Here is a 24868-nt window from a genome sequence, read left to right on the forward strand (position 1 = left end):
ACGAGTTAGAGAGCAGCCTGTGCAACATAAGGAGACCCTGTCTCTACAACAAAAAATAAAAATATATAAAAATTAACTGGGCATGGTGGCATGCACTTGTATTCCAGCATACAAGGGGGCTAAGGTGGGAGGATCGCTTGAGCCTGGGAGGTCAAGGCTGCAGTGAGCTGTGATGGCACCACTGTACTCCAGCCTGGGTGGCAGAGCAAAACCCTTTCTCAAAAAGAAAAGAAAAGAAAAGAAAATCTCATCCCTGTTTTTAAATGAAATTTTAGATAAAATATTTTTAGATAAAACATTTTAGATAAAAAATTTTTATGGCAACAACTCCTCTTTCAGTAATTCAACATATACTGTATTTGAGATCATTTAAATCCTAGATAACCATTGAAAATTTTTATTTTATATTTATTTATTTATTTATTTATTTAGTTAGTTAGTTAGTTAGTTAGTTATTTTTGAGACAGAGTCTTGCTCTGTCACCCAGGCTGGAGTGCAGTGGTGCGGTCTCCGCTCACTGCAAGCTCTGCCTCCCGGGTTCGTGCCATTCTCCTGCCTCAGCCTCCCGAGTAGCTGGGCCTACAGGTGCCCACCACCATGCCTGGCTATTTTTTTTGTTTTGTTTTGTATTTTTAGTAGAGGCAGGGTTTCACCATGTTAGCCAGGATGGTCTCAATCTCCTGACCTCATGATCCACCCGCTTCGGCCTCCCAAAGTGAGATTACAGGTGTGAGCCACCGCGCCCAGCCCATTGAACATTTTTAATAGAAAGTTTTATCATCTCAATTTTCTCTTTTTACTTTGTATAAAGATATTTCTGTACCATGCACTCTTTAAGGACAGGCTCCATGCCTTATTCATCTGTATATCATTGCCTAATTTAGGTGATAAGCAAGGTTTTATCAACTTGATATATTCTTTCATTAATTAGAAATTGGCAGTAGGGGTAAATGACTTAGAAAATCTGTAAATATTCTCTCAAATGCCACTGTCTTTCATTTTTAGAGGCTGACAGGCCTTTTCAGCCTTTAGGTTTTAGAGACAAACACTAAAATTACCCAGAGCTTTGCCTACTTTCTAACAATAGTATTAAATGTAATTAATAATTAATAGGAATGGAGAGACGAGTTAGTTATAAAAGTACATAAATGTTTGTAACAATAAGCACAACCTGCTATATTTGAATATCTTCTTACAGCATATTTAAATTAAGTTTTTCCTTTTTAAGAACTAAAGTTTTAAGATAAGACTATTGTGTTTCGTTCCTATATGCTTTATGAACTTAAAATATTTTTATGGAGTCTGTAAGCTGCTATTAAAATTGTATTAACTTTTGGCTTTTATTCCATAGTATAATTATCCTTGATTACAGACTCCAGAAGAGGTAGTGTACAGAGGAGCTGTTTATTTCACAAAAAACTTGACATAGGATTCTAGAACTTCTAAGGATAAAGGCTGTTATTTTTGAGATAATTTAAACCCAAATAAATATTATTTTAGAGGAAGATTACAGTTAGGGTTTTTTTGAGGGGAGGGGACAACTATCTTCTGTTTTGAAGAACAAATACTCTTCATTGTGGGTTGTTGTGACACCCAGAATTTCTAGCAATACCATGTTTGATCCTATCTCTTTATTTCCTAACCTCCCTCTCACTCCCTCAACTCCACCCCAAAGAAAATTCTCAGGAATTACATCAAAAACACTATATCATGTTATCAGACTTCCTTTTCTTGATTCTCTAGAGTGACAATATCTTGGAAAGACAGGACAATGTTGAACATAGTTTTCATAAAATTCATGATTATATCAAGAAAATTAAATACCAACAGAGAGAAAACAAGGATGACCACTTGGTTTCTGGCTTAAGTAACTGGGTAGATGTTTGCGCCATTTACAGTAGTACCTCCATCCTCTTTTCCACTTTCTGGGATTTCAGTTACCTGGGTCAACTATTGTACAAAGAAATTAAATGGAAAATTCCAGAAATTAATAATTTATACATTTTAAAGTTTGTACTCTTCTGAGTAACATGATGAAATCTCATGACATCCGGCTCTGTCCCACCCAAGATGTGAATTGTCCTTTTGTCCAGCATCTTCACAATGTACAAGCCACTTTGCTCTAGCTGTGTACACTGCGTGCCCTTCCATCACTTAGTAGCCAATTAGCAGATCTGATATTGGTTATATCATATCTCTTTATGGATGTCTGATATAACCAATATCAGATCTGCTGTTGCTGGTACCACAATGCTTGAATTAAGTTGACCCTTATTTTACTTAATTATGGCCCCAAAGTGCAAGAGTAGGGATGCTGGCAATTCAGACATGCCACACAAGCCGTAAAGTGCTTTAAGTGAAAAGGTGAAAGTTCTAGAATTAATAATGAAAGAAAAAAACCCTATGCTGAGGTTGCTAAGCTTTACAGTAAGAATGAATCATCTATCCATGAAATTATGAAGAAGGAAAATGAATTTTTTGCATAGTATATAGGGGGTTTGATGCTATCCATGATTTTAGGCATCCACTGGCAGGTCTTGGAACATGTTTCCCATGGATAAGGAAGGACTATTGTATTTAGATGGGAGAATGGGGATTAGAGTGGGGTATAGGTTTGGGTGGGGGTGAGCACACTGAGGTGTTGATCAAGATTTCTATAATAATTTGGCAGTGTTGATTTGGAATTGCCTTTCAGACATCTAGGTGGAGATGTCCAGTAGCTAGGATATGCAAGTCTGGCATTCAGAAGAGAAACTGAGGTGGAACTATAAACTTGAAAGGGTTTAGCATGAAGGCATTTCTTATATCCATTGGAATGGTTAGCCTTCCTTCTTCCCTTCCTCCCTTCCTCTGTCCTTCCATCCTTCCTTCGTTAATCATTAAACAAGTGGTTCTCATTTAGATTTATTTACAGTTAATCATATTTCCAGCATGAACCAATTTTTCAACTCTCATTGTTATGTCAGCTGAACACACAAATTAACACATATTCTCCAAGAAATTGGGAAATACTGATCCTACTTCTTTAGCAACTTATTTTCTAAATTTATATAGAAAAAATTGCAGAAAGAAAAAATGGCAATAAAATCATTTCTCAAGAACCATTAAGTGTGCCAGAGTTTCCTCAAAACAGAAATTTCAGAATAGTGGATACCTGGCAGGGGTAGTAGGTAAGGGGATGAGAAAGGTAAGGGGCTACACAGGCCCTTCCTTTGTATTTCATGTTATGTTTCTTTATCTGCATGGTGGCTAGATTGGCATTCATTATATCAGTGATTAGACTATTTCATCTAAGGGAAAAAAACCAAACTCTTGCACATATTTCTAGAGAAAGTCTTCAGAATTTGATTACTCCAATGACAGTGTTTATTTGTTTTCTTTTTGTTGTAGTACAAGAGAGGCAGGAATTAGAGGTAAAATAAAAGCTCTTTGCTTCCTTTATTAGTAAATATAGCTTACTAAAGAAAAGTTTTATGACTAATTTTTGAATTGCAGTAAATAAGCATATTATTTCACTGTTCAAATACAATGGTCTGATCGTTGTATATTTTTTAAATTAAATTGAGCTCTAGGCCTTTGGTCAGGTACCTTACCTTCATACTTATTTTCATGGGAAATCCAGCCTAATTACATTGTATGGATTTACAGTGCTTATTAAGGAACATAATTCTCTGTAAATGTAAGCATTGCCTTTAATTTGAAGTAAAGGTGGGTGGATTTCATTTCACTGATTGAGACAGTGTCATAGACATTAGAAAATAAACTGTTAGGGTTTACGTTTTCACATAAACTCTTTGAAAAAGCCGGAATTATCTTAATGTTTTATTTGTAGTGGTATTAACAATAAAAGTTATATTATACTATTTTAAAAATATGTTACCTAAAAAATAAATTACAAATCTAGGCTCATAGTTAACATTATACTGTAGATATATTTCTGCAGGGTTAGTATACACTGTTTTGCACAGTGAATTCTTAAAAAGAAACTATAGGAGCTCACCATTTAAGAAACCCTTCAGCCACTCCTTCTATACAAAGAATAATATTTGTACATTCAGATTTTTAGATTAGATTTTTAAAAGTAGTTAAATTGGGCATCTTTTATCATATTTGTCTTTAATTAATGGTGTGACTCTGGGGAAAGTAAAGAAACCTCTCTGAGCTCCAGTCTTATCTTTAATTTCAAAAGTGAACTAGATAATCTCTGAGGTTCAGCCTTAAAATTCTGTGATACTCATTTAAAAATAACTGTACCATCCAGCATTTCAGAAAAAGCATTAAGGACATGTGTTTCATTTCCTTAAATGAAAACAGATTATAATGTATGTAATCAGAGCATTGAAAAGAGAAGGAGAGAGAGGTGATTTCAGTACCAAAATTTGTCTATAGGATAGACTACCTGGATGAGGCAAAAGGATCTATAGACTACCTGCCTCAAAAATCTCTAGATATAATGAGAGAGATGGTAGGTACTCCTTGAGATGAGATACTAGTCTGATGATGGCTTTTTTTGGTGATGGCTGTTGAACAACATGTAAATAAAAGCAGTAATCATGTTAGAAGAGACCAATCTGTGCCTGTGTTCTGTAGACTACATTGTTAAGAGCATGGTTCAAATATTTGAAAGAGAAAAGAAAACTGCTTTTAAAACCACTTACAATTACCTTGGCATTCTCATTTTAAGTAGCCATCTGCAAGCATATTAATTTTATTATTTCAGTGAACTCCCTATTTGATTAATCCGTGACCTGATTTAGTAAACATTTGTCAGGATATATCTTCCCTGGAGATACATTAAGCTTGGAGCATGTAAGGCATCTTTTTTCCTATTCAAACAGTGAAGTTAGGAAAGTGTTGTGGTAATAATGTGAGCACAATTGTCTAAGAACATTAAGAACCTTCGTCTGGATCTTTTGTTACCATAAAAGGCAATGTATCATGCTTTCCTGTTTTGCATGGATGAGAAGGGAGTAAAAAACACCAAAAGAATTTTTATTGCATAGAAATATTTCCTTCCTAGCAGTTGGTGAAGCAATAATGAGCCTACAAAACAATCTTCCTATAGCTGGGGAGAGGAGGGCAGGAAAACGTAGTGCAGCCAGCCACATAGATTCGCAGACTGGCAGGCTGGTCACAGAGCGCCTGCTTCCATCCAGAGTCCCTTCTACATGTAACTCTCCCCAGGGCAAAGCGCCTGCATGTGCTTCTTCTCACAGCCCTTTAAGATATACAGGGCAAGTAGGAGCTGCTTCTTTTCTAGAAGAAGAACTTATCCAAGCCTGTGGTGCAGACGATTGTTGTAGGCAGGCTAGAGCCACACTTACCTGATTCCCAATTTGTACGTAAGACCAGGCAAGGTCCACTGTGTTGAGAAGATGCTTTCTGTGAATCAAATTACTTGGTACAGAAAATGTTGCTTTCAGTGTATCTTGTGGCAACTTTAACATTGTAGACATCACCACTGAATAAGATGAATGCGTGGGAATTGTGGATTTGAAAACACTAAAAGTGGTTATCAGGCTTTAGCACATCTTAAGAGTCTGCATTTCCACTAGCCTAATTCACACTGGGCCCTTCTCAGCGTTTCTTAATGCTACGCTACTCCCACTTCCTTTCCTCTGTTTCCCTCACTTCAGCCCTAAATGAATTTAGGTTGTTGAACAGAAATGATCATAAATCCCTTTTTAAGCCAAATGAAAAGAGGCCCATAATTTCTTTAGTTTGTTTCAGACCCATTACCTTTCAGAAGGTCAAACCTGCCTCATTCTCTAGGTGTGGACATGATACGGATAACAAAAAGGCATGGGGATATGTTTTATCAAATGTCCTAAAGATGTTTTTACATGCAGTTTTTAATAAAAAACAATTATCTACTATGCATAAGAACTAAAGTAATAATGTGCAATGCATTTTGTGCTTTTTAATAATAAATTATTAGTAATGAAGTGGAGACAACTTAGAGTTGATTGTTTTCTTTGGAGGTAAGGAAACATATTGAAACTAAACAATAGTAGCTGCCTAAGATTTCATGATGTGACAGTGGCATATTGCTATGGGGGAAAAAAAACAACCATGCACAGAAGAACAAGCCATTCACCCTGATATCAGTAATTTGAAAGTGAAGAGCAATTCTTTTTCAGCGTGATATATTTTTCAGTTTTAGGTTAAAAGTGTTGCATTCCAAGGAAGGCACTACAGTGCGTTCTCAGTATAAAGCAAATAGTTTTGTGGTATTGGTTGTCTGATGTGGTTGAGCACTGGTATTTCATAGCTTTCAAAGAAACATTTTAAAGATAAAAAGAAGAGCAGAAATACTGGAAAAGGCAATATGTCATCTGAATTCTGTTGGTGCTTAAGAACAGCAAGGGCTATCAGTTACCCTTGAGTTCCAGTCCCAGTTTTGTCACTGACTCTGACCTTAGGCAAGTTATTTAACTTATTTATGCCTTTGTATCCTCTTCTCTAAAATGAATCTAATACCTGTCTCACAGTGTTAAGTTGTGAGGATGAAATAAAATAATGCCTGTGAAGCACTTCCTATAGTGCTTGGCATGTGAATCCTCAGATAATGATCACAGTTAAGGAATTGGATGGTTGCTATTTTCATGGTTCTTTAGTTTACAGGTTTTCAGAGTATTTTACTAGTAGACTCTATGCTTAATTAATTCATTCAACTTAATAGTAACCAGAAATAGTGTTCTTTCATCTGGAGTTGTAATTCCCTCACTTGTAAGTAATTTTTCTGCTGCCTCTTGTCTTTACTGAAAATTGATTCTGTTCGTTGCTGTGGAGGCCTCACCTTTCTCACTTCTCCTGATATACTGTGAAAATATTAAAACCTAATAATTTGTCCACATGCACCACTCTTTTCAGTAATCATTGCTGACTCTGTCAACCCTAGACTCATTCCCACTTTGCTAGACAACCTCAGTACCTGGGTCTTATCTTCTCTCCATCCTCTGCCATCATCCTCCCCAATTCTGGCACGTAAAATGATGATCCATTCATCCTTCTTCAGCCTGTTAGAGTCTTTCCAGCTCCATTTCTGCTCCCCACCTTTCCTTTTTGCTGCACCTTGTACTTCATCATCACTGCTCTGTTTCTAAAATATCAGTACTCTCTTTCTCTGCTTACCACGTCCTGAACTGCTGCTTCTTCCACTCCTCCACATCTGTGGAGCTAGATCTGTGCCTTCAGTCATTCACTCTTAGACTCTGCTGATTGCATGCTTAGCCTTGTCTCAAAGACCTACTACTTCAGTACCACCTCCTCAACCCTCCTAATCACGTTCTTTGTCCACTGTGATAGTCACTGCATGCTTTCCCGCTTTTTGCAATCTGCTGTTGGAACATTTTAGAAGCAATCTGAGAACCGTACTGATTTGGCCCACTACAAATTTGTGATTCTAATTTTATTTTGGGCCCTTTGTATGGCTTAACAGTAGTTATCAATTCTTCAGCACATTTGTTTTAATAACTATTAAATATTTCCTATTTTCTAGTCTCCTTATGCTTCCAGTCCTAACCAGCCCTCCCTTCCTCTTGGGACATGATCTTGCCTCTTATTTTTACTGAACCGATTGATGTTATTGCTGCTGTGTATGTACTATCATTGTCCCTGGGAGATTGATGAATAAAACATTACCTAGCAGTGTTTGTGTTCCTGAGGTCTGATTTGGCCTGTGGGTAACTAGATACTGACTCTTATCTTTGTCCCAGCGAGTGGCCATCTTTGATATAGATGATGTTTCTTTACTTGTGTATCTATATATTTGGTCATTTCGTGATCTGTATTTATTGAGCACAGTGACCTGTGTTAAGTAGGTAGTAAGGACAATTAGAAAGAGAATAAAACACATAGCCCCCCTTCCCTTTCTGTGAATTAATAATGAAGACAAACCTACCTAATTTTAGTAACATTTTGTTATTATACACTTGGTTCTAACCATGAATTTGGTTACCTTAAAGGTGTCCTGCCCTCTCTTGTGATGCACAGCAGAGTAAGATGCGCTTGACGGGTAGCGTGGCTGTCTTTTCCTTCTCACTCCAGGGTTATGATAGTTCCTGTTGTACACATGGATGATAGAGACACAGCGGCAACCATACAGGATTTTTATACTTGTACTAAGGACTTGGAGAGGGTCTAAAGGTAGGAAAGTAGTAGGAACTACCAAGTTGATTAGAATAACAGGCCTGGAAAGGCCTCTGAAGAGTGCGTTAAGAGAGAAATCATAGCTGGCCTTGGAAGGGAGAGGTGTCGTTTGGTGAGGCAGTGTGCATAGGATACCTCAGGGATGTGAGTGGTAAAGGCAGATAGGGCATTTTTCCAGAAGAAAATATGAATGTCAGTTATTATAGAAGTGTATAGATAGAATTTGCTCACCACTTTGTGTGTGTGTATGGAGTTGTGTTTGAAAGCAGAACTTGGATGGAATCTATGGATCAATTACTTTCCTCTTTTCTAGGGTTATGGGTATTGAGGGAGGCCAGGGGCATTGGAAGAAAAAAAATGTGTGTCATTCAAGTACCCTTGGGTGTCTTCATTTTGGGTAGTTTCCTGAAGAGATAGTGTTGATGCCTTTTGTGCTGTTAGCATTGTCATCTGTTGCTGGAAAGGGTAATCCTGGAGCTTTGATCCATGGAATGAATCCAGGGAGCCAAGTGTAGACTCTGACCGTTCTACACAGTAGTTTAGGGGCCATGAGACGTGAAAACTTGGCCTGAGGAGCCCTTCTGCCTTCTCATAGTCTATTAAGAAACCATGAAAAAGAGAGGAACTTAACGTAACCTTAACTGTCTACATTTTTGACACTTTGCCAGACCTGTGTGATTTATTTTAAAAGATAGAATGTGTATTCAGGCACTCCCAGCGTCATTTTACTTAGTGAAGTATTAGAAGTCAACAAAATTAACTTCTTTATTTGGGTTTTAAAAAAACGGAAAGAAGACAGCTCTTACAGAATGAAGGGTAACAGTACTAGAAACAATAAAAGGAAAACATTACCATCCAGTTTTATACTTTTTAACTTCTCTATTTTGTGTATTTTCTAACTTGAATACAGCTTTAAAATGCCATTTTTAGTTAGACATGGCATAGGAAATGTTTTAAATAACAAATTTCAGTTGGGGATGAATAGAACATTACTTGTATTGTGTTAACAAATACATAAATGTAAATTGTTTTAAGGTGCATATTAAGCTTTATTAAACAAAGAGATAAATATTTTGTCTCTGTTAATGTTTTACTCAAGTAACAGTAAATCTTTTAAGTCCACCAAAACATGAAGGCATTGCACAATGAATGGTACATTATAAATGTATTCTGCAGGAATGATTTATGCATCTGACTTCTATGGCACTGAATTTCAAAACCTCATAAAGAAGTCATTTTAGAGAAATGTCATGCTGACCTGTGTAGACGGAGACGTAAAATTTGCCTATGTGGTCAACTTCATATTAACTTGATGTTCAGAGTTACAGAAATATTTGAATACTTATATATTTTAGATGATAAATGCTTGTCAAAGTAATGAATATTTAACATATTACTTGACTTATAGACTAATGACCTCTCTAAAATTTAAGATTTTTAGCCATACATGATTCAGTTTATTTCTCGTGTGTCATGCAATTGATTCTTCTTGTTGTGCTACCCATAAAAACTTTAGTGTTTCTAGGGTATTGCCTCAGGATCATCATACACTACTTGTAATTATTTGAAAAATTCATACCAAAGCATTTTAATATATGGCAGTTTTAATATTTTGGCATCTCCTACACATTGACTTATCAGAGAAGATTATGTCTTTATTTTACTTTAAATGAAGTACTGTTTTCAGAGATGATTTCCTTAAATCCATCTGCACTGAAAAAATGTAATTAATCTGACATTTTGTAAAGGTTTCATTGAATTATATTCTTGTCTTATGCTGTACAGGGATAAGTACTTACACATTTTCAGCTAAGATTAGCTTTAGGATGTGTTAAGGAAAAAAGATAACAGTACATATTTTATGATCAATATATTTTAATTAGTCAATTTTCAAATGAACTTGTCCGTCTGTAATTTGTAGACAGGATATGCCCAAGTGCAGAAAAAATAGAATTTAAAGCTTAGACAAATAGATGGAAGAATTTGAATCTATCTGTTAAAATCTCATAGCCAAGAATATGCTGATTTGTATATGACCCAGTGTACTAACACATTTACACAACTTCCAAGTACAGAGAAAATTTACCTTGAGCTTTAAAATATAAATAATTTGTCTTTGAGTTCGTAGAACAGTCTTTTTTTCTTCCTAATTAATTTTATTTTATTACTTGTTTATTCACCACAATGAATTAATTTAGACCTCAACGTAAACATGCTCCCATCTTGGGGGCATTTACAGTTTTACTTTACAGATGGACAAGTTTATGCATACATACCTGTTCAATGCATGTGAATACCTGTTTGAGGGCTGAAAAAAGTTTTTTTGCGTCTAACCTAGCAAATAGTAACTTTTGTGAGCTGATAGAGGTCTTCTTTTGCCTGAAGGAAGGAGAATATTGAAATATGTTTTCAAGGGCCTTATCTATTTTTCTAGTCTTATGATTCTTTTATTTAACTACTGTAAAACTGTACTTAGACAGAAATAACAATGTAAGAACTTATTTAAGATGCACTTTTCCTTCCCTTCAAGTTAATAATTTCAAAAATTCTTCACATAAGCACGACAGTGCTCTTAAAAATCGCCAGCACATCTTCTGTTTCTAATTTAGTTTCTTGAATTGTTTCCCATAGCTTCATGTATCTTCAAAATATCTGTATAGAGTCCACTTCTAATTACTTACTTTCTAACTTAGGAAAAAAGAAACATTTATCTCATCTTGGTTTTCCTCTGATTTGCCACCATACTTGAGCAATCTCCTAATCTATTTTTGTTCCGGGAATGCAAAATTAATTTTAATATCAGTTTAAGCAAATCATAATTAGCAGAGAAGCATCCTTGTTAATTGAGGGCTTAACTATGAGAAGACCAGGAGTGAGCTGTCTTCTTCATTGAGAGATCTTCAAATGCCAGCATCAGTTGGCCATTTCTGGAGGAGTTTTCAATTTCTCCAGAAAATAAATTTTTGGTCTCATATCTGGGGATGGATGTGGAGTGTAAGAACATATAAGGCTTGGCTCCTGGAGGCCAAGGAATGAATTTCTGGTTTCAGCTCTGTGATCTGAAGAGCTGGAATGATGTAGGTCCCATTTTTACCACAAGAAAAAAGCTGGACAGACAGATTTTCATGGACTCATCAGAGAACTAAGGCAACAGAACAAACAGCTATCCTGAAATGTGGATAGAGACAGGAGCTCTCAGTGAGTCCTAGGATGTCAGCACTTGCTTACCTGAGGCAGAAGCCACTAGATCCTTGTAGGAAAACTAGAGATTTTGATGAATTGCTGGAGGCTGAAGCTAATGAGAACATGAAGCTTCTGGGCCCTCTGTCGTACGAGGGGTTCTCACCGTTTTGCAAGCTTACACAGATTTTTACTCCTCTTTTTAGCCTTGCCTCTCACTGCAACTGCCAGTACCTCTATTTTACCTTTGGGGGCTTCCTCAATATGAGGTGTTTTTTTTTTTTGACAGAGTCTCGCTCTGTCGCCCAGGTTGGAGTGCAGTGGCATGATCTTGGCCCACTGCAACCTCTGCCTCCTGGGTTCAAGCGATTCTCCCTCCTCAGCCTCCTGAGTAGCTGGGATTACAGGCGTGCGCCACTATGCCCTGTCTAGTTTTTGTATTTTTAGTAGAGACAGGGTTTCACCATGTTGGCCAGGCTGGTCTCAAACTTCTGACGTCAAGTGATCTGCCCATCTTGGCCTCCCAAAGTGCTGGGATTACAGGCATGAGCCACCATGCCTGGCCGAGGTTTTGTTTCTAATAAATCAGTAATGCTTTCGGTAGTTTAATCTGTCATCTCAACCAGAAGTCTTCATCACAATATCTTGTTAACTGAAAATAGTCCACTACAAAACAGAATTTGTACCATAAATCTCTAAATTTTGTTTATGTGAACACATAGACACACACAGGAAAGAAGTCTGGCTTACATAGATGTCATAGATTATGGTGATATTTTCCCTCTATTTGTATTTTCTTATTTTTTTTTAACAATTCTACAGTAAAAAGTGTTTAAGAATACTCAGAAAACAAGTGTGTATCTATAATTAATCACTAGTACTTACAATATTCTCTTTTTAGTTTGTTTTCTTTCAGCTTGTTCTCATCCAGATGTTTAGAATCCTAAATGACTGTTTTCTCCTGACATTTGCCATTGGGGTACATAAGGTGGTGACTGCCATAGTTCTTTACAACTCCAGTGATTCTCTTAAAACTTGCTCTTAGGATCCCTTGCCTAACCCTAGGGCTTAAAGGTGACTGCTCTGGAGCTACAGGTGTGGACGAAGATGGCCCTTGGGCTTCTGCAATTATTCTGTTCTCCCAGGTGAGGAGACTTTTGTAGGACAGGGTGGTTATTTAGGAAATTCTGAGCTGCTCTAAGCCAGTGTTGCCCAACCGTGACCATACCTGGGGAGCTTTAAAAACTCCCAATCTAGGCTGCACCCCAGACCAATTAAATCAGAATCTCTGGGAGGGGGACAAAGGCATCTATAGTTTTTAAAGCTCTCCAGGGTGATTTCAATGTATTGCTGAGGTTGTGAGCTGCTGCTTTAAAGGAAACAAGTATGTTTATTCCTAATCCATTTGGATCTTGAGGGCCAATCTGGAAAAGCAATCTCTATACCCACTGTCATCTCGATACATATCTTGTGGGGATTCTGTAGCCACTAGCAGGCCATGTTCATCTGTGTGTGTGTACCTGCCTTGATGTGACAAATCATAAGCACTAAGAGGAGAGGCAGCCTCTTTTATTCACCATTGTATCCTAAGTCTCTAAATCAGTGCCTGGCCTAGTAACTTACCAAAAGATATTGTAAAAGTAGTGCATTTAGGGTTTTTTTTTTCCTTTTTATTGAAAAGGGACAAAGACAAGTGGTCAAAACGTCATTTCATAATACTTAATTTTTACGAACTCTCCTGGCCCCAAGTGTCTGTGATTCAGTGAGGAAAGAGCTCTCCTTCATTCCTTTGACATGAATATATTGACTACCCATTGTTTACATAAGGCTGGGATGGCTGTGATCAAACCAACATCCACAGACATGGTACCTAGAGAAATAAAGCGCGGAAAGCCAAACCTATGGAAGAATAACAAATATTGCAATTCAAAAGTGAAAATCACTGTAGACTAGCTTCATTTTTCCATTTAACAACTATGTCTTGGCCACCTCTTTCTCTGCTAGCACTAGTCTAAATGCTGGAGGTCTTGAGGGCAGTTTGCTAAGTGATTTTAAAATACAACTTTAGCACCTGATTTTCTTTCTTTTCTTCACAGTCAGATTTTGGGCCAGAACCTAAGTGATAGATTTCTAGGCATTGTAATAGATAATGAAATGCATTATTACTTTTGAAGTTATGATAACCTGACAAGAAAAAAATGGATATTTTTATTATCTACATCTTACAGATGAGGAAACACTTTGTGCACTTTAAGTAACTTGCCCAGGCTCATAAACCAGTGTTGTTAGCTCAGCTACTTCAATAAAGGTCCTCTGATTTCAAATCTTATGAGTAAGAAGACTTAATATTCCACTAGTTACATAATGGCAGAATGGTTCTGATTTTGTATTCAGTGCAGTAAAGTTAAATATGCTGTTAAAAAATTTAGTGTCCACAAATTACCTTCAATGCGATTAATGTTTGTTTTGAAATTACCTACCAGTTATCATTGTTAAACTCTGTGGTATTTTTTTTCTTTGTGTGTGTTTTATGAGTTAGCATTATTTTATAGAAAGATTTAGGGATTTATTATTTATATTATTTATATTACTATTATTTAGATTATTCTGACAGTCTTCTGTGTCCTCAGACAAGTTAGCAGAGCACAGATATAATACATTAGTCAGAATTTTTCCATTTCCGTGTTCAGATTAATCTTAGAATAATTTTTACCTGTCTTTGTTAACAGGTATTATGCTTTTAACTTCTTAACTCCTAGTACATGAGTAAAAGGTAGTAATCATGACATAGCCAAATGACAGAGTGCTTGTATTTGCCACAAAGCATGTAGTTCCTTGTAAATCCTTGAGAAAGGTAAATTATCTCTCTCTCTTTTTTTGAGATGGAGTCTCGCTCCGTCGCCAGGCTGGAGTGCAGTGGCGTGATCTTGGCTCACCGCAACCTCCCCCTCCTGGGTTCAGGTGATTCTCCTGCCTCAGCCTCCTGAGTAGCTGGGAGTACAGGTGTGCGCCACCACACCCGGCTAAGTTTTGTATTTTTAGTAGAGATGGGTTTCACCGTGTTGGCCAGGATAGTCTCCAACTCCTGACCTCGTGATCTGCCCACCTTGGCCTCCCAAAGTGCTGGGATTACAGGTGTGAGCCACTGCACCCAGCAGTTTCTAGCTGTTGTTTTCATGTCCGTATTTTCTTTCCTGTAGATAGCACCTATCGGAATCTTTAATTTTGAAGTTGAAATACATAGGTATGCTTCTAGCTTAGGGTCATTCCCCGGGGATTATTATACTTCTTTAAGATCTCTATTCTTTAAGATAGAGATGTCTTCTGGTTTACCTCTGGACATTTTGTGTGTAAATTTTATGTTCAGCCAACCAAAGGGCCCAGGGGTTAGTAGCGTTATTTTGTTCTCTGCTTTAGAGGACAAGGGTTCAAGTTCCAGATCTGCCATTTGCTGTTAGTGTAAACTTTAGTAAATTAACTTTCTGAACCTGTTTTCTCACCCTGAAAATTAGGATACATTATTTATTTTTCTATTTTCCTGCATTTTGGGAGGATCAAATGAGATCTACAAAAAATATTTTCTTAACTGCCAAGTGCTATAGAAATATTGGATATCAGTGTTTTTTTCATCTACCATAATGATTGTTATTTTCCTAATACCTGAGCCTTAACAATATATTTTCCATTTATACTACCCTTATAAATTGAAGTTTTTAATTTCAGATTTTCTATAAAGATAAGAAAGTCAATTTGTTTTCATGTTAGCTTTAATATCCATTAAGCCTTTTGTTTTCTAGTCCTAAAACAATAAAAATGGGGCCTTATGCCAATCAGTACTGTCCTTGATTTTAAATGATGCGAAAAAAATACAAACTCCTTTAATAGAGAGTCTTTTAACCAGATGGATAGGTGATACATAGGTATTAGCATCTCACAGTTGCAAAGTATCTTCTGTTGCATTTGCATAGGATATATCAGGAAAGGGTGTGGGATGAGGAGAGTAGACTATTTTTATTATTATAGGGTTGGGAAGGAGTAGTTCCATCTCTGCCTGTGATATCAAAGGGCTGGATGACACTGGAGAACTCATTTCTCACCTTGACCTATTCATCCGTCTTTAAAATACCAAAGATGTTAAGTTGGTGATCTCCAAAGCTCTTTCCAGTTTTAGACTTTGCTGCATCTGAAATGAATATCAAGAGAGTACAGGAGAATTATACTTGAACTGAAAATAATAATAAACTTGGAGAAGTTTTCTTTCTGAGTCTTAGAGAACTATAAAGATATAAAAGGTAAATAAACACAATCCTTTCTTCCTTGTCTATGTGGGTAAGTGATTAGAACTAGGAACTATGAAACTAAAGTGAAATGTGGCTTAGTTTTTTCCTTATGCATACTTGGGAAAATAATATTTTGTCAATAAATACTTTGCATGTAATATGCATATATAATAATTTCTTGAATTACCTTACACATAAAATGTCACAGCCATTCCCTGGGCTTGGTATTTTTAGTCTGCATGTTGCTAAAATCAGCTATAAATTTCAGTCTATCAAGGTAGTCCAATAGAACCTCAATAGTTGTTATGAGGTAAGAATAACTCTTTGTACCAAAATCTATCTAGGATGTTAGGATGTTGCAAGAATAGAAAATTACAAACCATTATACCTCGTGAATGAGCACATAGATACAGAAAGCTTTAGAAAAACACTAGAAAACAGAACTGAATATTATTTTTAAAAAGGTAATCATAATGCATTATGACCAAGTAAATCAGGAAAAAGGCAAGGATGTACACTCTTATGACTTTTCTATTCAACTTTGTAATCAATGCCATAAGACGAGAAAAAATAAATAAAAGACATAATGATTGGAAAGGAAGAAGTACAACTGCCTTTGTTTACAGACACTGTAATTGTGTATGTACAAGATCTAATGAAATATACAAAAAGATTGCTAGGACAAAGAGTGAATTTAGCAAGGGACAAGATACAAGGGTAGTAGTAAAAATAATTTATGGTATTTCTGTATACTAACAGAAAAACTGGAAAAGTATCTATATATCAACAGAAAAACAATACCATTTAAAATAGCATCAAAAAGCATAAAATATGAACAAATTTGTTTAAAGATATAAAGGAGCTCTATAGTGAAATTTGTAAAATATTGCTGAGAGAGATTATAGAAGTCTTAAGACAGAGGTATACCATGGGATGGGCCCAGGAATCTTTACAGCCCCCCAGGATGCTTTGAAACAGAAGCCTGGTTGAAGAATAGGGTAGCATGATTTTTAATTCTTCGATAGTATTTTGTACCTAACCAATTAATCTTAATATATCCAAGTCCTCTCTCCCTTCGTCTCTGCCTCTCTCTCTCTCTCTCTCTCTCACGCTCTCTCTCTCTCTCTGCCCTGATCATTTGTACTTATTCTTGCCATCCTTACTGGACTGTGAGCTCTTACAGGGTCAAGATCATAGGATCATGTTTTCTTTGTCTTCATCTTCTCAGCATCCGACAGTCCCTGGGCACATAGCACTGAGTGTGCTGTCTGTATAGGATCACTGCCCTTTTGCTGGTGTTATCTTCAGATCATTCTTTATGATTATCATCAAATTATTAAAAGGTAGCTTTTTAGGAACTTACATTTTAGGTAAAATGTACTTTTCCCCTATTACATTAGTCTCATTGAATTTTAATCATTATTTTTAGTTATCTTGATCCAGCTTTGAAGAGTAATCATTTCTGTTCTTTAAATTTGTATACCACTTTACTATCACAAAACTCTTTCACAAAGAGTATTTTTTATGCTCATCCCAACAATTCCATGTGGTAGGCAGGACAGATTTGTACTGTTTTGGTTTTAGGTTGTTTTGTTTTCTGTTTTGGGTTGTTTTGTTTTGTTTTAGCATTTTAAGAGAAGGAAAGGCTCAGGGGAGGCTGAGAAAAGTTAAACTCTTGCTCAGAGTGTCATAGCTAGTAAATAGGAAAGTGGGATCTGAACTTGTGTCTTTTTATTTCAAATTCAGTTTTCTTTACTGTACCACACCAGTCACTACCATCTTAGCTGAGACACTTGCCTTTTTTGGGTGAAGACAGCATGTCATCAGCATAATGTCAGCACTCTGTAACCTTTATTTCCTGCATGGCCATACCCTGCTTTTGGGACTGAGAGCCGGCTACGACGTATACCTGTAATAGGAATAAAGATAGAACGTTAATTTCCTTGTAGGTTTCTTGGTTCCTTTACAACTTTTTAAATTTAGCTTGAATTTAGTTTTGTTATGAATTAATTATTCCATTGTTTGTTCACTTGTTCATTTTTAAAAATCTATTAAGCAAATGATTATTGAACATCTCCTTTGTACATCTCAGGCTTAGAATAAGATTGGGACTGAGCCATCACATTATTCACAGTTAGTGAGGGAAACAGATAAGAAATTAATTGTTATAATAGTTAAGACAAAAGTACAGACTTCATCGTGAAATATTTGGACCAAACGTAAGAATCAAACATTAATGCTGCTGACAGATTGGGAGTACAATAGTGTATATGGGAAGCCAGGCTGGGGGGCTGATGCAGGAAATGATAACCAAATTGTTCTCTGTCCTGAGCCAGGTTGAAGGACACATTGAAATAGCCAGGAGTGTTTTGTAGCCTGTTCAGTGCAGGCCTAGGTTGGATTATCAGAACAATGGACTGACCCTTCCCCAAATTTAATTTAAAACATTTAAATCAGATTTTCTACAAAGTTTTCTATTAAAAATTAATAAAAAATTTAAAATAACACAAATATCTATATGTAGAGAGAGATGATTGTGTTTAAATTCATTATTAACATCTGTAATGAGGATGATTTATGGTCACTACAATAAATGCTTTATTCAGAGATGTTTTTGGTCTTGTTCGTGGCTGTGTCTGGCCCAGAATAGGTACTCAATACATCTTTATTGGATTTTAATACATTTAAAGGGATTTAAAAATTAAATATAGATAGATGGCAATGATTGAGTTTGCCACAGAAGTGTTTTTAATATATTCATATGGTTCTGACCTAAGTATCCTATTTTTAAAAATTATAAACTAAGCATTTTTCAAATAGACAAAGAAGCTGATGAATATTTGTATTATTACAAGTTAAATGTGGATTGTTATATAATTATAGAATGTTAAGAATGGAAGAGCTTTACAAATTATCTAGTCCCACCCTAAAATTAATGTAAATAGTTAGATAATATTTTTATATGACTCAAAAATGTTTAAAAAGATATACATTGAAAAAAATCTCACTCCCATCCCATGTCTTTCTACTCCATTCCCTTTCCGGTTCTCTATAGACAGTCACTTTTATTAGTTTCTTATGTATCTTTCCAGGATTTCTTTATGCAAATGCGAGTATATGTTCTCATTTATTCTCTTCCTTCCACAGAAGGTGGCATACTATATACACTACTCTGCATCTCAGTGTTTTTACTTAACAATGCATCTTGGCAATCTTTTCATACCACTACGTAGCTCCCTCTTCTTTTTTTTTTTTTTTTCACAATGCCTATTAGTCTATTATGTGTTGTATCATAGCTTCTTAAATCACCCTTTGTAGGGGAATGATTTATGATAGCCAGTCTTTGGCTATCATAAACAGTGCTGCAAGTGAATAACCTTGTAAATGCATTGTTTCCTCTGTATGCTGATATTATTTATAGGACCAGTTCCCAGTGGTAGGATTGCCAGGTCAACGGAAATGCATTTGTAATTTTGATGGCAAATTTCCTCCATAGCAGTCCCGTCATTTTATAGGTGAGGAAACTGAGGCATTGGTAGTTAAGTCAACCACTGGGAGTGGCAAAGCCAGGACATATATCCAGGAGGCATTTCTAGACCAAGTCTGGGTCAGGTGCCTTTCCTCCATGCCCCTACACTAGCCTATACCTTCCCTGGCAGAGCCTTCATCATAGGTTTTGTAACTGTTGGCTTACTTTCCTGTCTTTCTTCTACACTATAAGTTCTCTGAGTGAGGGCAGGGCCCATGTCTACATGCTCACCATTGTAGGTCTAATACCTAGCACAGGGGCTAGTACAGAGTTGGTGCTTGATAAATATTTGTTGAATAAATGGAGACAAGCGAAGCCTTCTATTCATAGTCCAGTACTCATTATATTCCATCTCACACCTTTACACTCAACGTAAAAAAACAAACAAACAAAAACATACCAGCCAGACAAATAAATGTAGGATATGGAGAGATATCTATTTAGAGCTGTTCATGTGAAAAAGATTTGGGGTATTTAGGGTTCTTATGAAAAGATTTGGTACTCAGCTGTCCAAAAATCTCATGTAAAACAAGGTTTCATTAATGGAAATGCTGTTTCAAGAACAAAGGACGTAATAATTCCGACAGCTGTCTCTGAGGTTTTAAGTAGTATAATCCTGGGTGTTGCATCCTAAGAGGCTTGGAGGTGAAGAAGAGAACCAACAATGGAAGGTGATCAGGCTTGTGAGCAATCTGAATTTCTACCAAGTACTCTCTGTAGTCCAAAATAGACATTAGTGGCCTCTCTTTATAGATGAGAAATCTGAGGACCAGGGAACTTAAATATTTCTAAGAGTCAAACATTAAGTAGTTGAATTTGGATTCAAATCTGGATTAGCTTCAAACCATAGTCTGTCCTCTTACTCCCTGTACTCGTTGTCTTTCCCTACATTGTTCACAATGGGAAAGGGACTCTTAATAGGTCTGGCCAGGCTCCTGTTGGTTCAGGGCTAGATTGGTTTGAATCTAGTAGTCCTCACAACCGAGTGAGCAGGATAGATGGGGCCTAACAGGAAAGTCTTCAGACAAAGCAAAGTTTGAATGGCTGACATCTGTCTAAAATGCCATTGTTTTAAAAAGTGAATTGTGCACGAGTTGTGCAAAGCTTGGAAACCTATTGTCATACATTTAGACCCTCATTTAGAAATAGGAAAGTTACAACAATTTTAGGTATTGTTGATCAGCAAAAAAAAAAAAAACCATATTAAGCTATGGTGGAGAAAATAAAGGACAGCTCTCTCATCTTAGCGGGAGTGAGGTTGAGGGAAGGTACAGAAAGAATATGAGATGTCCTAGGCTTTGGTGTGAGCATGGGGTTGAAGCAAATAATTACCAAATCCTTTCACTTCGATTGTCACTAAACCAGCTCTCCAGTGCTCTTCATAACCATTTCCATATATCTGTGGTTTACATAGTTGCCATTTTTTCAGTAGTATAGAACATTCCATTATGTTAACATGTCATAGTTTTGTCAGCCATTCTCATACTATTAGCTGTTTAAATTCTTCTTCCTTTCCTCTCTTCTTACCCTCCCCCACTCCCTTCCTTCTTCCCTTCCTCCCTCACTCCTTCATTTTCTCTTTTATTTTTTAATAGGGCTGCTGAGAACATCTTGCACTAATTTCTTTCTTCCTTTGGATTATTTCTTTGAACTAATTCCCCAGAGTAGAATTATTGGGCCAAAGGATAAGGAGAGCTTGTTACATATTTTAGGTTGCATTCAGGAAAGATTAGACCAACTTACAGGATTCCCAACAATATGAAAATGTATCTCCATGCTTAATCAAGACTCTGTTTTCTGTGGGTTGGGATAGGCCAAAAACTCTGCCTTGGAAAATAAACCAGTCTGTTAAGTAGGATGGTCAACCTAGGAAGGTGACAGTACTGGATAATGGCAAGGGGTTCAAGCTGGCAGAAAGAGAGATGGGTAATTGACTGAGGACATGAATAAGAGCCATGGGGAACCATAGCTGTAGGGAAACCGTGATGCCTGCCAGCAAAGGACCTGGGGACAGGAAAATAAAATGCAGATTCATTTACCAGAGTATGTAGAAAGTGAGTTCTTGACCATAAGTAACCATACAGGACCCTGGAAATATAACCAGTACCAAAATCTAGGACCAGCTGGAAGGTGGGTGGGCATGTGGGACTAGGAAGCAGAGCTTTGTGTACTCTAACCCTGGCCTAATTGCATTTTTATCATTTTTATTTATTTTTGCTAAGTTAGTAGTTATATAATGATACCTTAAAATGATCTTTAATTACCTTTATCAAGTTGTACATTTTTTCCAGGTTCATCTCTTTGGACCACTTTTTCAAGTAAATCTGGTTATTGACTCTTTTTAATTATATGCAGTGGATGATAACCTTATATCACTTACATTTGTTACATTGAGCTCTTCTGTGCGCTCTGTCCTTTTGATATTTTGTATTATATTTGCTATATTTTTGAGTATAGAAATTTTCTTTTTTTATATTTGAAAATGTCTGTGATAATATTCTACTTTTTTGGCAGTTATAAAGTTCTCTCTCTTCCACAGTTGGAGTGAATATGCTATTCTGTTTTCTTCTACATATATTTTCACTCTCTAGCCTGCACGTATGGTGTGAGCTTAAGGCTCTAACTTACTCGTTGTCTTACTGTTTACTCTCCAGTTGCTCACTAGCACTTTCCCCTCTGTAATCGGATTGCTTCTGGCTTGTCGTGTCCACCCTTTCATCTTTATTTCTGAATTCTATTTTGGGTTTTTTCTATTCCAACTAATACCATATCTTCTTTTAAAATAATTCTTCTTTTGTAACATTTTAAAATTTCGTAGTTTGAAACCACTATCATAACTTTGGTGTTTTTCCTTTGGCATTTTGCCTACTTTTCCAACACATGTTTTAGTACCAATATCAAGTTCTGTAAAATCAGTGTTTTATTAAATCTACATAATAATTTAGGGAATGTTGTCATCTTTACTATATTTAGTTTTCCCAGCATGGAGCAAATAATATTTCTTCATTTATCTGTCTGTCTTTAATTCTGCTGTCAGACTTTATGTCATCTTTGAATAAGTCTCTAATTTTCTGATTTAAATTAATACCCATTTATTGAATTTTTGTCAGAATTATAAATGGGGTCTTTTCTACTGTGTTTTCTGGCTACGGCCCATAGTATATAGGCTTGTAGTAGTTTTAGATGGATTTTTATCCTGCAACTTTGCTGAAGCCATTTAGCTAACACTAGTTATTTTAAGTTGATTTTATTGAGTTCTGTAATCATATAACTTTATAACTTGATGATATAGAGCTATGACATATATCAAATGTATTTTTTCCTTTTTCCCCATGTTTATATTTTTAATTCTTGTTCCTCTCCAATATCTAATTGCCTATTCAGTCAAGTAGCTACCCTTGCTTCCCTATGAACTAGGAAATAAAGGAATCAGCTTACTCCATGAAAGTCGCAGCCAGCACATAAATGGATTAAGGTGTAAACGTGATATTCTCTTTGGGAGATGAAATGGATCCCAAGTGAGCAATATTGGACTTGTTGGAATGTGTTCACATATGTGAAGAAAGAATGTATCAAACCAAAGCTAGGGAAAGAATAAGAAAAAATAATGTTAGAGAATTTGGCAGTAACTATTCCAGCATTATCCAAAATAAAGGATGGTTTCGCCAGTGAATTTTGAATAATGTGAAAGTGGAGGTAAATGCAGAAGGATGAATGTAGATCACAGACTTTAAACTGTCTTGGTATTCCCTTTGGATATACTAACAAGGTTAGGATCTCAGACTCTATTAAAAGGCAGTTCCTCTAACTCCCCTTGTTTTGATCTCTTGTTCACTCAGAAACCCACATAAGCCTTTCTCATAGGAAGATAATACACTGATCTTAGGGGTTTGGAGTATTCATTCCATCCTTGTGACTGTGATTTATTATTACAAAGTAATAAATTGACTTCTTACAGGGAAAGAATGCAGTAACCATACGAACATAGAGAATTTTAGTACCAAATTAATTTTGATAGTAAACTAATGAGTTAGCATTCTGGCTGTATAATGCCACCTTCCCTTGAGCCATGGCTGTGCAATTGGTATGCAGACAGAATTGAGTTTCTGTGCCCAGAAGGCCAAACTCTGTCCACCAAGAACATAAACTGCACACCCCGAGGCCTCTTGGGGAGAACCTGACAACCTGGTTGTAGTGTGTTTGCTTTGCCAAAGGGCTCAGAATGGGTGTTGCAGTTTTCTATAAGCACTTGTTGCATTAACGATATGATTTCTATACTGTCCCTCTTTGCGTGATGAATTATATTGTTTTCCTTGTGTCTAGTTATGCAGTACAAGAACAAAACTCTGCTTGTTCATAGGAAAATTATTTTAATGTGATCTTTTTTTCTATTTACTAGGGTTTTTATTTAGTTATTATAGCCATACTCATAAAAAATCATTGTGCATATCTTGTCTGTTTTTGGAAAATAAGACTATATTTGCCTTATGAGGTAGATTGAAAAGCATAACATTCTTACCTATTTTTGGAAAGTTCCAAAACATTCTCCAACAAACTCATTGGCTATAGGCATCTTTGAAAACAGTAATCCTAATAACATTTCACTCTGTTGTTGTAAGTTGTCCATTCAGGTTTGCTATTTCCCGATACCTCTCTTTTATCCTCTTGTGGTCTTGAATTTTTATCTATTTACATTTAACTACCAAATTTACTAGCATATAATCAGGATTTATAATGCCCTAATTAAAAAAAAATTTCTAACGTATAGTCTTGATTTAATGTGAATTTTTCTGTCTTTTGTGTTGCTGCATGTACTTAGCTTATTTTTACTTTTGCTCTTCATTTTGTTTTTTGTCTTTTCTAATTTTGGTTTGATATTGATTATTTTCTCTTTTTCTAAATTATTTTAGATAGATTTTTAATTGTTTTGATTTTTTCTTTAAGAGGCCTGAGTTTTCTTAAGATGGCTGCCTTGGCCAGGCACAGTGGCTCACACCTGTAGTCCCAGCACTTTGGGAGGCTGGGGGCGGGTGGGGATGCCAATCACTTGAGGTCAGGAGTTCGAGACCAGCCTGGCCAACATGGTAAAACCCCATCTCTATCAAAAACATAAAAAATTAACCGGGTGTGGTGGCGCGTGCCTGTAATCCCAGCTCCTTGGGAGGCTGAAGCAGGAGAATCGCTTGAACCTGGGAGGTGGAGGTTGCAGTGAGACGAGACCGTGCCACTGCACTCCAGCCTGGGTGACAGAGCGAGAGACTCTGTCTCCAAAAAAAAAAAAAAAAAAAAGATGGCTGCCTGACTTTTAAAAGTCACCTAGTTGAAAAACTATGCTTTTGTGTATATGTGTATGCCCGTTCCTGCCGTTGTGAGCAGATTCTTTTGTGTATCGCCTTCTAATCTCCAAACTCAATAAATGATTTCAGTACATGTAACTATTCAAATAATAATATCAGGAAGCACAAACAAGAGACACTGGAAAGGAGACCATGACTAGAAGAGAGAAGTTGCTACTTGTTGAGATTTTGTGCCTGCAGAAGCATAACGACTAGAAAGCTCGATGCCAAATGAAGGGGCAAGTGTGGGCTGTTGGTCCATGAGGCGTAACACTGAATTCAAAGTCAAGGGCATGTATGTGGGCCTGGCCAGGAGCGAGTAGGTTCTAAGGGGGCAGCTGTTGTGGAGGTACTCATTCATCATGGTCAGGAGGAAGAAATTGGTTTTGTAC

The 24868-nt window shown here is 36.5% G+C and overlaps 1 protein-coding gene across 14 annotated transcripts in view; it reads left to right on the plus strand.

Moving 5' to 3' along the window:
• BABAM2 (BRISC and BRCA1 A complex member 2) overlaps window positions 1–24868 on the plus strand; it is a 450193-nt gene that overhangs the window by 187345 nt on the left and 237980 nt on the right. The gene's annotated exons all lie outside the window — the stretch shown is intronic.

Source organism: Homo sapiens, chromosome 2, assembly GCF_000001405.40.
Source record: "Homo sapiens chromosome 2, GRCh38.p14 Primary Assembly".
NCBI classification, from domain to species: domain Eukaryota; kingdom Metazoa; phylum Chordata; class Mammalia; order Primates; family Hominidae; genus Homo; species Homo sapiens.